The sequence below is a fragment of the Homo sapiens genome, chromosome 1, assembly GCF_000001405.40.
Source record: "Homo sapiens chromosome 1, GRCh38.p14 Primary Assembly".
Taxonomy (NCBI): Eukaryota; Metazoa; Chordata; class Mammalia; order Primates; family Hominidae; genus Homo; species Homo sapiens.
Window position 1 is genome coordinate 247616803 of NC_000001.11, and position 12643 is coordinate 247629445.

At 36.8% G+C, this 12643-nt stretch overlaps 1 protein-coding gene and 1 long non-coding RNA gene across 3 annotated transcripts in view; one reads left to right on the top strand and one right to left on the bottom strand.

Moving 5' to 3' along the window:
• Positions 1-12643, bottom strand: part of LOC102724446 (uncharacterized) — a 75216-nt gene that overhangs the window by 51164 nt on the left and 11409 nt on the right. The window lies entirely within an intron of this gene.
• Positions 341-5570, top strand: OR14L1 (olfactory receptor family 14 subfamily L member 1). The gene is made up of 2 exons (NM_001396106.1): positions 341-598; positions 2820-5570. Exons 1-2 carry the CDS (start codon positions 562-564, stop codon positions 3758-3760), a joined length of 978 nt encoding a protein of 325 aa, NP_001383035.1. The 5' UTR covers positions 341-561; the 3' UTR covers positions 3761-5570.

The following is a 12643-nucleotide window of genomic DNA, read 5'->3' on the forward strand; positions in this document are numbered from 1 at the left end:
ATTAAGAATGAAAATCTAGTTCCAGAATCTCTGGTTGGGTTTATACCTATTGTCCAAGCATAAGTATCGATCGTTTCTTCTTTCACTCTCAGCACAAGCGCTCTATCTAATCGAGCCTCTGGGCGTGTGGAAGGTTATATTATGCAATTAATTCGCATTCTTTTATCCCACATCACAGAAAAGAATATTTCTCCTTGTTGCTAGTCACTGAATTAATCAAAGCTCTGCTTTTCTTTTTGCTCGCCAAGGACATATTTACAAGAAATCTTGTCTCCAGAGACCTCCGAATTATAAAGAGTTTCTCTCATTAGGATCTCACTTATTAATCACCATTTCATTACAAATATTGAATCACAGCTAAATGGAAACCAGATGTGGCACTCATCAAGTTTATATTTTTGAATCAGGGAGAAGATAAAGACATTTGCAGTTGCAACTTGGAGGCTACAGCCACATTGTTAGATTAGGGCATTTTTCAATTTTATCTGATATGTTCAGGTAAACCAAGGCTCCTTCTCAAAGAAACAGAAGTTTGAAATTTTGAATGACTGGAGTTGCTCAATGGCCCAGTTCAACAAAAATCAGCTCATAGCATGCAGTAAGTTCAATACCATAAGTGGAAAATAAAACCATAAATAATGTTATATTATTTTTCAATTAATAGATTGCACTGATATATTTCCATACCATCTTCTTATCTGATTTATAGATTAAGCACAACACATTTTAGAATACACAGTTATTTCTTTTTTTGGGGTGATAGCAGTTCTGGATCTGGGCATGAGCAATGCACATCCATGAAAGCAGGTAAAAGAAAAGAGGGAGTAGTATAATACGAGTTTTGATGTGTGGTGAATTGGATGAGTCTATATTTCCTTTCAGTGGTGAAAGGTGTGTGTGTGTGTGTGCGTGTGTGTGTGTGTGTAGTCTCGATGTATGGTGGGATTGGATGAGTCTATATTTCTTTTCAGTGGTGAAAGTTCTGTATGTGTGTGTGTTCAATGAAAAGGATGTGCACATTTAAACATGTTTGCATTGACTGAATTTTAAAAAATTCATAATAAAAGAGTCAATTCCAATGCCTGTCAATGCATAATAGTTCTCACTTTAGAGTCCTTGATATTTCTCTTCCTGATTAGTGTCACCACATCATTCCTTTAAACATTTTGATAAAAGAGATATCAATTAATGGTGCCCTGGTAAACTGTAATCAGAATAGATTCCCAAGATGAAGTTGGTTCTTTTACTTGGTCACAAGAAGCATTTTTCTTTCTATTTGGTTGTACCTGTCCCTTTAACAACCAGCTATTTAGGCGATCAATGTCAGAAAACTAGAACAAATAGAAACACATTTTCCAGTAGAGAGACATTCAGTTGACTCCATTTTGGTTTTCTTTCTCGGTTTAACTTTTGATTTACCCAAGAAAGACCAGGAAATCAGTGATTGCCTAGAGTGAAAACTGCCAGAAGAAGAGATTATATACAAAGAAGGATAAGGAATATTTTGGATATGATGAAAATAGTCTGCCCTGGTTGTGGTGGTGGTTTCATAGGCATATACAACTGCGAAAACTCCTAGAATTGCATACTTTAAATTGATACAGTTTACCCTACATAAATTCCAGCTACATTATTTGATATGGGTGAAAATCCATTTCAGAGTTTGGCTTAAACACTATAGAAGTCTGGGAATGAGGACTCCCATTTTACTGGACTAGACCAATCCAAAGCAAAATTAAAAAAAAATAAAGTGAGTCGCAGATGCTAGGAAAGATCATTGTAGAAATTGCTCAATATTTTTAGGTGTCTTGAATACATAATTGATATTCTTTTTCTTTGAATCTCAACATTGAAGACAGATTCTGAAGACCAGCAAAAAGACTAGACTGATGTAAATACACATTTCCTAGCTAATCCATACCCATATCCTAAGCATACGATAAATACTTCTGTACCTCTGCCTTTTCCTATGTGGCTTTCTTCAAAAATATCAGTCTAAAAATCATTCAGTAAAATAGTTCTCAAAACCTAGCTCAGACACTGTTCTCTGCAACTCTTCTATAACAACACAAAATAAGACCAATCTCTTTTCTCGATACATCCACTATTACCCTTTCTCAACATGCCTGCTATTGTTTATAATACCAGATTCCACTTAGTATTTTACCTCCCTACGTTCTCTATTTGATTGTTTAAGTTTTGAATTCAAGAACTGTTTCTTATGAAATCTTTTACTATAAGAGCCAACCATTGTGCTTTTTACGTGAGGTGTTTACCAAATGTCTCCTGATACTTTTTTGAAAGGCTGTGACTATAACCTCACTAAATAGTTATGACATAAGGAGCCTTTTTTTCAGATTACTAATACCACTTTGATTTTATTTTCATAAAACTGAAAAGAACTATGACAAACCACTTGCAATGCTGTTCTTTAACACATAATGAGCAAATAAAATGCTTCAAAATAAATATGTATATTCAGTTGATGGGAATAATACTCATTTTTTGTCCAAGTATGCACACTTTATTCTTTTGTTAATACTATATATTTTCTTTGTTGATTATGTCAGTGAGGTTATTCATTCTCCCTTTTTATTTTGCATTTTGGTTGTCGTCTTTTATACACCTCACATACTATGATGTATTTATTGAGAATATGCTTTGTATAAAGCACTATTCTGTGTAATTGAGATTTAGGGTTAGAACGATAGTATCCATGCTGCATATGAGTAACCTTATAATTAATTATCACAAATTGAAATATCACTGGGGGTAGCCATATTTGATATTTCTATAATCCATTTTTTTTCTCTCTTTAGGAAGAAATGGAACGACCACAAGTGATTTTAACCAAACTGAAGTTGCTGAATTTTTCCTCATGGGATTTTCGAATTCCTGGGATATTCAGATTGTACATGCTGCTCTATTCTTCCTAGTTTACCTGGCAGCTGTCATAGGAAATCTCCTAATCATCATACTTACCACTCTGGATGTTCACCTCCAAACCCCAATGTATTTCTTTTTGAGAAACTTGTCTTTCTTAGATTTTTGTTACATCTCTGTCACAATTCCAAAATCTATTGTTAGTTCCTTGACTCATGATACTTCCATTTCTTTCTTTGGGTGTGCTCTGCAAGCCTTCTTTTTCATGGACTTGGCAACTACGGAGGTAGCCATCCTTACAGTGATGTCCTATGACCGCTATATGGCCATCTGCCGGCCTTTACATTATGAGGTCATCATAAACCAAGGTGTCTGTCTGAGGATGATGGCCATGTCGTGGCTCAGTGGGGTGATCTGTGGATTCATGCATGTGATAGCAACATTCTCATTACCATTCTGTGGGCGCAATAGAATACGTCAATTTTTCTGTAATATTCCACAGCTCCTAAGCCTCTTAGACCCCAAAGTAATTACCATTGAGATTGGAGTCATGGTTTTTGGTACAAGTCTTGTGATAATCTCCTTTGTTGTAATTACTCTCTCCTACATGTACATTTTTTCTGTCATCATGAGGATTCCTTCTAAGGAGGGTAGATCAAAAACATTTTCTACCTGCATTCCACATCTTGTGGTTGTAACACTCTTTATGATATCTGGCAGCATTGCCTATGTGAAGCCAATTTCAAATTCTCCCCCCGTTCTGGATGTTTTCCTGTCTGCGTTCTACACAGTCGTGCCCCCGACCCTGAACCCCGTCATCTATAGTCTGAGGAATAGGGACATGAAGGCAGCCCTGAGAAGGCAGTGTGGTCCCTGAGAAGGCAGTGTGGTATGCTAGATGAAGAATTTGATTACGGACCAGACTCTTGAACTCTTGCTCTAATCAGGCAATTTGTAAACTCTCTGGGTTTATATTTTCAATTGATTGCTGAGCTCTTTCTTGATTTTTAAATTAAATTCAGCTATAGTTTACCATACTAACCATATTTGGGTGAATTCAACCTTAGAATGCACTAAAAGGTACTTCGGGGTGTTCAAAACATTAGAACTTGTGCTTTTATTCATTTTTATGAGTTGTAGATCTCAAAATTTTATAAATTATATTGTACTCAGTAATACAACATATTAATTAATATAAAAGTGAATTACTAATATAAATGAATTACTACCGTATGTGTATATTAATTACAGCAGAACAAGATCATATGGATTAAAAACAACCAAATGGAAAATAAACATAAGGTAACAGTGTGTGCTCAGAATTTCTTCAGCATTATAAAGGATGGTCAAATAGGCTAGAGACCAGTGTTCTGGGAGCATATCTATTGGGTGAGATGAAATATATGCAATAATATCACAAACTATAAAGGTTCACATATGTTTATGGTGCTGTGTATAGGAAGGTTCACAGAGGAGAAATGTCATTTTCATTAAACACAATATTATGTTAAGCTAACTAAAATCTTCTTCCATTTTTCCTCTGCATAGGAAAGTATGAACTGAAAGTTATTATGCATTATTCCCAGAGTGCTTTTATGTGTATTCTATCTATATAAATATTCATCTATAAAATGCATAGCATCATTTTATAAATTAATACTTAAACTATAATATAAATAGCATCCTACCTTAGTTATCCTTTTTAAAGTCCTTTAAATTGTATTTTTAGTTGACAAATAAAAATAATTATATATGCCTATGGGGTAAAAGTGATGTTTTAATACATGTTTGCAATGTGGAATGATTAAATCAGGCAATGTAATATATCACCTGAAACATTTGTCATTCATTTGTGGTGACATTGTTTAAAATCCTCTTTTAACTGTTTTGAAACACACAATACATTGGTATGAACTAGATTAATCTTGCTGTGCAATAGATCACCAGAGCTTATCCTTCCTGTCTAACTGGAACTCTGTGCTCTCCGACCAACATTTCCCCTTTACCAGTCTACCATCACCCTTGCCTCCATCTTCTGGTCAGCACCATTCTACTCTGTATTTTTATGAGTTTGACTTTTTCAGATTCCACATATAAGTGAGATCCTGTGGTATTTGTCTCTCTGTGACTGGCTTATTTCACGTAACATGATGTCTTCTCTAGGTTCATCCATATTGTCACCAATGACAGAATTTCATGTTTTTTTTCAAGGCTGAATAGTATTCCATTGTGTGTGTATACTACATTTTAAAAATCCATTTGTCCATGGTGGACACTTAGATTGATTCCATATTTCGGCTATTGTAATGCCGCAATGCACATGGAAATACAGACATGCCTTTGACCTACTGATTCCAGTTCTTTGGATAGATGCAAGCGTACCTCATTGTATTGCACTTCATTTGCTGAATTTCACAAATATTGCATTTTTTATAAATCAAAGGTTTTTGGTAACTTTGCATTGGGCAAGTCTATTGGCACCATTTTTCTGACAGCGTGTGCTCACTTCACGTCTGTGTGTCACCTTTTAGTGATTCTCACAATATTTCAAACTTTTTCATTATTGTTATGTCTGTTTTGGTGATCTGTGATCAGTGATGTTCAATGTTACTATTGTATTTGTTTCGGGGAGCCATGAACTGTTCTCATATAAGATGATAAACTTAATAAGTGTGTGTGTTCTGACTCTCCGTTGACTGGCTGTGTCTCCATCTTTTTTTCCTCTCCTTAGGCCTTGCAATTTCCTTAGACACAACAATATGAAAATTAGGTCGATCAATAATCCTACAAGGCCTCTGAATTTTCAAGTGAAAGGAAGAGTTGCCCGTCTCTCACTTTAAATCGAAAGCTAGAAACTATTAAGCTTAGGGAGGAAGGTATAGTCACTCAAATTATGAAAAAATGCAACATCTAAAGGAAAACATTGATAATGATAACTATTAAATGTAAGGCTTTATTCTCACCCACAGTCATCTTAAAGTGGAAAAAATCCCAAACTACATACCCATAGAACCTAATTGCCAAAGGATTGGCACTCTGAATGTGAAAATGACTTCTTTAAATCAGGATCAGATCAAGAACATGTAAAAATATGCATTGTACTTGAAGAGTGCATTATCCTGGAAGTCATCTCACAGCAGAGAAAACATAATTTGTCCAGTAACACAGGCAAGCTTTCTAAAATATTTGACAGCATCAAGTGTTGGTGGGCTTAGGAACGACTTGGACACACACACTGCTGTTAGTGAACACTTTGATCCATATTTTGTTATTTATACAGTAATGTTAAACATGGATTGCATTCATCATGGTTCTTAGTTGAAACGTATAAAATTACAAATAGCCTATTGAGGCATATGGAGTTTAAAACGTAGACTACTGCCATTACATGCACAGTCTACATGTGAGAGCTTGGGCTGTACATTACCAGGAACTGAATATATTTTAAAAAGGCTCTCAAAACACCACAAATGGTGATGAAACCCAACAGCTGCTGCTGTACTTGTGGGTATAAGTATATTTGAGAAAATCTCTGATTTTCCAGAAGAATCGACCACTTCCACTCCAAGCTTGCAAGAAACCCAACATTCCTTCACATATGTGACTTCTTCCCACAGAAGCTCCACTACTAGTTTTCTTGATGGAAACTGGGTCATATACAAGCAGGGAGATGGAGATATGAAAGAACCAGTACAAGATATGCTTCAAATCTATAGCTTCCCTGAAGACTATAATACAGACTGGAAAGAGTTTAAAATAAGGACTGAGTGAGCTTACTTATAGCATCTATCTCATGCATTACATCTGTGCCTCAGCAATTCCACGTACAGGCATACACCTCGGAAAACTCTTTCATACATGAGAAAGCATTTTTAAGAATGTTTATTGAAGCACTAATTTGCTTTAGAAAAAAGCAGAGATATAACTGAAATTAACTTTCACTGGAGAATATATTGGTGTAAATTAATTAACCATAACTTCAGTATTTACTTTTCAAGATTTAAGAAAACCATTAAACTTGGATGAATGCATCTTCTCCATATCTGTCAATTTCCCCACCACAGTTAGTGTGTGTGTGTTTGTGTGTGCGTACATGTGTGTATCTGTGTATACACGTGTGCATGTGTGTTTGTGTGTTCATAAGAACTAGAAGACATCTTTAAAATTGGAATATATAAAAGTTATAAAGGCCCTCATTTGAGCATTTCCTGAGCTTTTCACTTATCCCTTAGTAGAAATACCATCTCCTTTAACAAGAGTTATTGATTCTAAGAAAAAAAGAAATTTCGTTTTGTCTACTGCTGATTTATCTTGCAGATATAAAAACTGGCAAAAGTAATTCATTTATTTGTATATCATTGGTTTAATAGAAGGATAGAAGGAAGTGAACTGGCTAGTATCTTTCATCCAAAAATCTTGACACTGGAAAACAATTTCCTAAATTTGTCTTGAATTTTCTTCCTCAGATGAAAAAACCATAACTGTATTAGCTTTACAACTTATAATTACTTTGTAAATATATTTGATTATTTTCTGTCGAAGTAGCACGTGTGTGCGTGCTTGGGTGTGTGTGTGTGTGCACTATGACTCAGAGTCAAAGTGAATGTATTTATACTAAATGGATATGTTCATTCATAGATATTTATTGATTGATAACTGTGCACTAAGCTAATCAGGGAGAAAGTTACCGTAGCAGAGAGAAGAAACAATTTTTTCCACTGATGAAATAATAAATAAACCAATTCAAATAATGCATAATTTATTGTCTGGAATTGTAGTTAAATGAAGAAGCATAGAGAAAGGTAAGAGGATAGAGAATGAAGTAGTATTGGATTCCAGTTTTTTAAATTTTTGATTTAATTTTTATTTTTATGGGTATATAGTAGGTGTATATATATGAGATACATGAGATATCTTGATAAAGGCATGCAATAAATAGTAATCACATCAGGGTAAATGGGGTATCCATGACCTGAAGCATTTATCTTTTGTGTTACAAACAATCCAGTTATAATATGTTAGTAGTTTTAAAATGTATGATTAAATTATTTTTGACTACAGTCATTCTGTTGTGTTAACAAACACTAAGTCCTAATAATTATTTCTATTTTTGTACCCATCAACCATCACTATTTCCTCCCCACTTCCCCCAACTACCCTTACCAGACCATGCTTCTACTCTCTAGCTCCAAGAGTTTGATTATTTTAATTTTTAGCTTCCACAAATAAATGAGAACATGTGAAGTTTGTCTTTTTGTGCTTGGCTCATTTTGCTTAAAATGATGAACTCCAGTTTCATCCATGTTGTTGCAAATGACAGGATTTCATTCTTCTTATGGTTGACTAGAACCCCATTGTGTATAGTTACCAAATTTTCTTTATCCATTCATCTGTTGTTGGACACTTGTGTTGCTTCCATTGTGTAACTATTGTGAGCAGAGCTGTAGCAAACATTGTAGTGCAGGCACCTTTTCAATACACTAATTTCCTTTCTTTTGTGTACGTACCTAGGAGTGGGATTGCAGGATTGTATGGTAACTCTATTTTTAATTTTTTGAGGAACTGTCAAACTGTTGTCCATAGTGATTCTACTAATTTACATTCTAACCCACAGTGTACAAGGGTTCTCTTTGCTTCACATCCTTGCCAGCATTTGTTATAGCCTGACTGACTTTTGGATAAAAACCATTTTATCTGGGGTGAGGTGATATCTCATTGTAGTTTTGATTTGTATTTCTCTGACAATCAGTGATATTGAGGACCTTTTCATATACCTGTTTGCCATTTTTATGTCTTCTTTTGAGAAATGCCTATTCAGATCTTTTGCCCATGTTTAAATCAGATTATTAGATTTGTCCCTAGAGAGTTATTTGTGCTCTTTATATATTCTGTCAGATGGGTAGTTTTCAAATATTTTCTCTCAGTCTATGGGTTTTGTCTTCACTTTGTTGATTGTTTCCTTTGCTGTGCCAGAGATTTTTAACTTGATGTGATCATTTGTCCATTTTTGCTTTGGTTGCCTGTGCTTTTGAGGTATTAGTCAATAAATCTTCAACCAGTCCAATGTCTGAGAGCATTCTCCAATGTTTTCTTTTAGTATTTTCATAGTTTGAGGTCTTACATTTAAGTCTTTAATCCATTTTGATTTGAGTTTTCTATATGGTGAGAGAAAGGGGTCTAGTTTTATTCTTCTGCATACGAATATCCAGTTTTCCCAGCACCACTTATTGAAAATGGTGTTCTTTCCCTAATGTATGATCTTGGCACCTTTGTCAAAATTGAGTTCACTGTAGATGTATAGATTTATCTCTGGGTTCTCTATTCTGTTCCACTGATCTATGTGTCTGTTTTTATACCAGAACCATGCCGTTTTGATTACTAAAGCTCTGTAGTATAACTTAAAGTCAAATAATGTGATTCCTCCAGTTTTGTTCTTTTTACTTAATAAATCTTTGCTATTCTGGGTCTTTTGTGGTTCCACATAGATTTTAGGACTTTTTTTCCTATTTCTGTGAAAAATGTCATTGGTATTTTGATAAGGATTGAATTGAATCTGTATATTACTTTAGATAGAGTGGACATTTTAACAATATTTATTCTCCTAATCCATGAACGTGAAACATCTTTCCAGTATTTTGTGTCTTCTCCAATTTATTGCATCAGCGTTTTATAGTTTTCATTGTAGAAATCATTCACTTCTGTGGTTAATTCCTTGGTATTTTATTTTATTTGTAGTTATTGTCTGGTCTGGTGTTGATGAAATTCGCCAGCTCTTGTTTTTCTGGAAAGTCTTCAATTCTTCTTCATATTTAACTAATATTTTCCCTGGATATGGTATTCCAGAATAAAAGTATTTTTCCTTCTGCACTGTAAACATGTCATACCATTCTCCTGGTCTGTAAGCTTTCTGTTGAAAAGTCAGTTCCTAGATGTATTTGAGCTTCATGGTATGTTATTTGTTTCTTGTCTCTTGCTGCTTTTAGGATACTTTATTTTGACCTTCGGAAGTTTATTAAATACCTTGAGGTAGTCTTATTTGGGCTAAATCTGATTGGTGTTCTATAACCTTGTACTTGAATAATGATATAGGTTTGGGAAATTCTATGTTATTACACCTTTGAATAAACTTTCTACTCCTATCTCTTTCTCTACCACCTCTTTAAAGCCAATAACTTTTAGAGTAGCCCATTTGAGGCTACTTTCTAGATCCTGTAGGCATGCTTCTTTGTTTCTTATAATTTTTCCTTTTGTCCCCGATATGGTTAGGCTTTGCATCCCCACCAAAATCTCATCTTGAATTGTAATCCCCACATGTCAAGGGAGAGACAAGGTGGAGGTAATTGAATCATGGGGGCAGATTCCCCCATGCTGTTCTCATGATAGTGAGTGAGTTCTCATGAGATCTGATGGTTTTATAAAGGGCTCTTCCCCCTTTGCTTGACTCTTCTCCTTCCTGCCATCTTTGAAGAAGGTGCCTTGCTTCCCCTTCCTCCATGAGGCCTCCCCAGCTATGTTGAACTGTGAGTCAATTAAACCTATTTTCTTTATAAATTACTGAGTCTCAGGCAGCTCTTTATAGCAGTATGAAAATGGAGTAAACTATCTCCTCTGTTTTCAAATAGCCTGTCTTCAAGCTCACTAATTCTTTTTCCTGCTTAATCAATGTGCTATTGGAAAACTCTGATGCATTCGTCAGTAGGTCAATTGCATTTTTCAACTCCAGAATTTCTGCTTGTTTTTATTTCAATCTCTTTGTTAAATTTATTTGACAGAATTCTGAATTCCTTCTCTGTGTTATTCTCAATTTTTTTGAGTTTTTTTCAACACAGCTATTTTGAATTCTCTGTCTGAAAGGTGACATATCTATGTTTCTCCAGAATTGATCTCTGGTGCCTTATTTAGTTCATTTGCTGAGGTAATGTTTTCCTGGATGATGTTGATGCTTGTGGATGGATGTTCATTTGTGTCTGGGCATTAAAGAGTTAGTTATTTTTTGTACTGCTCACTGTCTGAGCTTATTTGCACCCATCCTTTTTGGGAAGGCTTTCCAGGTATTAAAAAAGACTTGGGTGTTGTGATCTAAGCTGTGTTGGCTTTAGGGGGCACCCAAGGCCAGTAATCCTGTGGTTCTTGTAGACTCATAGAGATACCACCTTGATGGTCTTAAGTGATATCTGGAATAAATCACTGGATTACCAGAAAGAGACTCATGTTTTCTTCGCTTACTTTCTCTCAAACAAATGAAGTCTCTCTCTCTCTCTACTCTGAACCAGCTGGAGCTAGGAATGGGGTGACACAAGCACCCCTGTGGCCACAAGCATCAGAGTGCTCTCGATCAGACCTGAAACCAGCACAGGACTGAGCCTGGCTCGTGGCCTGCTATAAACACTACCTGGCTACTTCCAATGTTTTCTCAAGGCCTTGGGGCTCTATAACCAGCAGGTGAGAAAGCCAGCCAGGCCTGTGTCTTTCCCCTCAGGGCACAGACTTCCCACAGGCCCCTGCCAAGTCCAGAGGTGCCATTCAGTAGCCAGGGACTAGAGTAAAATCCTTAGAAGTCTACCTGGTGTTCTATTGTACTGTGGCTTTGCTGGCATTCAAACCACGAGATGCAGTTCTATCCCCTCTTCCCCCCATTTTCCACAGGCAGAGGAGCCTCAATCTGTGACCACTACCACCACGGCCCACAGGGAGTATTCCAGGATACTGAAAGTATTTCCTTAAGGCCAAAGGGCTCTTTAGTTACCTTGCGGTAAATGCTGCCTAGGATAGGACTTACTTTTCAGGGCAGTGGACTCTCGTTTGGCCCAGGATAGATCCAGAAATGCCATCGAAGAGCCAAAGCCTGGACTCAAAGACCCCAAGGACCTGCTTGGTTCTCTAGCCCCCTGTGGCTAAACCAGTGACAAAGTCCCCTTTACTTTTTCCTCTGCTTTTCTCAAGTAGAAAGGGTTTTTCTCCATAGCCCCTATAGCTGGGATGGTGCTGAGTTTTACCTGAAGGTAGCCAGTCTCAGAGTCTCACTGAAGGGCCACAAGATACTACCTGGGTATTTCTCCTAGTTATTCAGGGTCCAAGGGCTCTTTAGTTAGCAAGTGATGAATCCTGCCAGGACTGGGTAATTTCCTTCAAGGCCTCAGGTTTCCTTCTGGCCTAGGGTGTGTCTAGAATTGTCATTTTGGAACTAGGGCCTGGAAAGGGGGCCTCACGGCTTTGACTGATGGCCTATCTTACTGTGACTGAGGTGGTATCCAAGATGTAAGACAGAGTTCTCTTTACTCTCTTCAATCCTCAAGCAGAAGGAAGCAGTCTGTTTTGGAGCCATGAGCTGTGCAGCCTAAGGTTGCGGGGGTGATGTAAGCACTCCCTTGGCCACCCCAGATGATGTCTCAGTATGTCATATGCCCTCCAAGTTCCCTGGTTCTGAGCCCAGTTCAGCACTAGGACCCACCTAGGAGTTGCAGTCTTTGCAGTCTATACTGCCTTACAAGTTTTTATAGGATCCCAGAGCACTTTAGCCTACCATAGCGACATTTGCCAGAACTCAAGTTCCAACAGCTGGCATGTGTTATTCCCTTCTAGCTAGGGCTGATTTATCTGCTTCCTTTGTGGAAAGGTGTTAGCTGAGTTCAGTCCAGTTTTGCTTTCTGCTGTGGCAGGACAGCACTGAGTTCAATACAACGTCTCACAGTTGCTGTGCTATCCTTCTTACAGCACACAGATTCTCTCTTCACACCACATGGCCACTGCCAAGGGACTG

Coding starts and splice junctions, on each gene's coding strand:
- OR14L1 (NM_001396106.1), top strand. CDS start 562: ATGGCCCAGTTCAACAAAAATCAGCTCATAGCATGCA. Junction 599..2,819: donor AAATCAGCTCATAGCATGCA/GTAAGTTCAATA, acceptor TTCTCTCTTTAG/GAAGAAATGGAACGACCACA.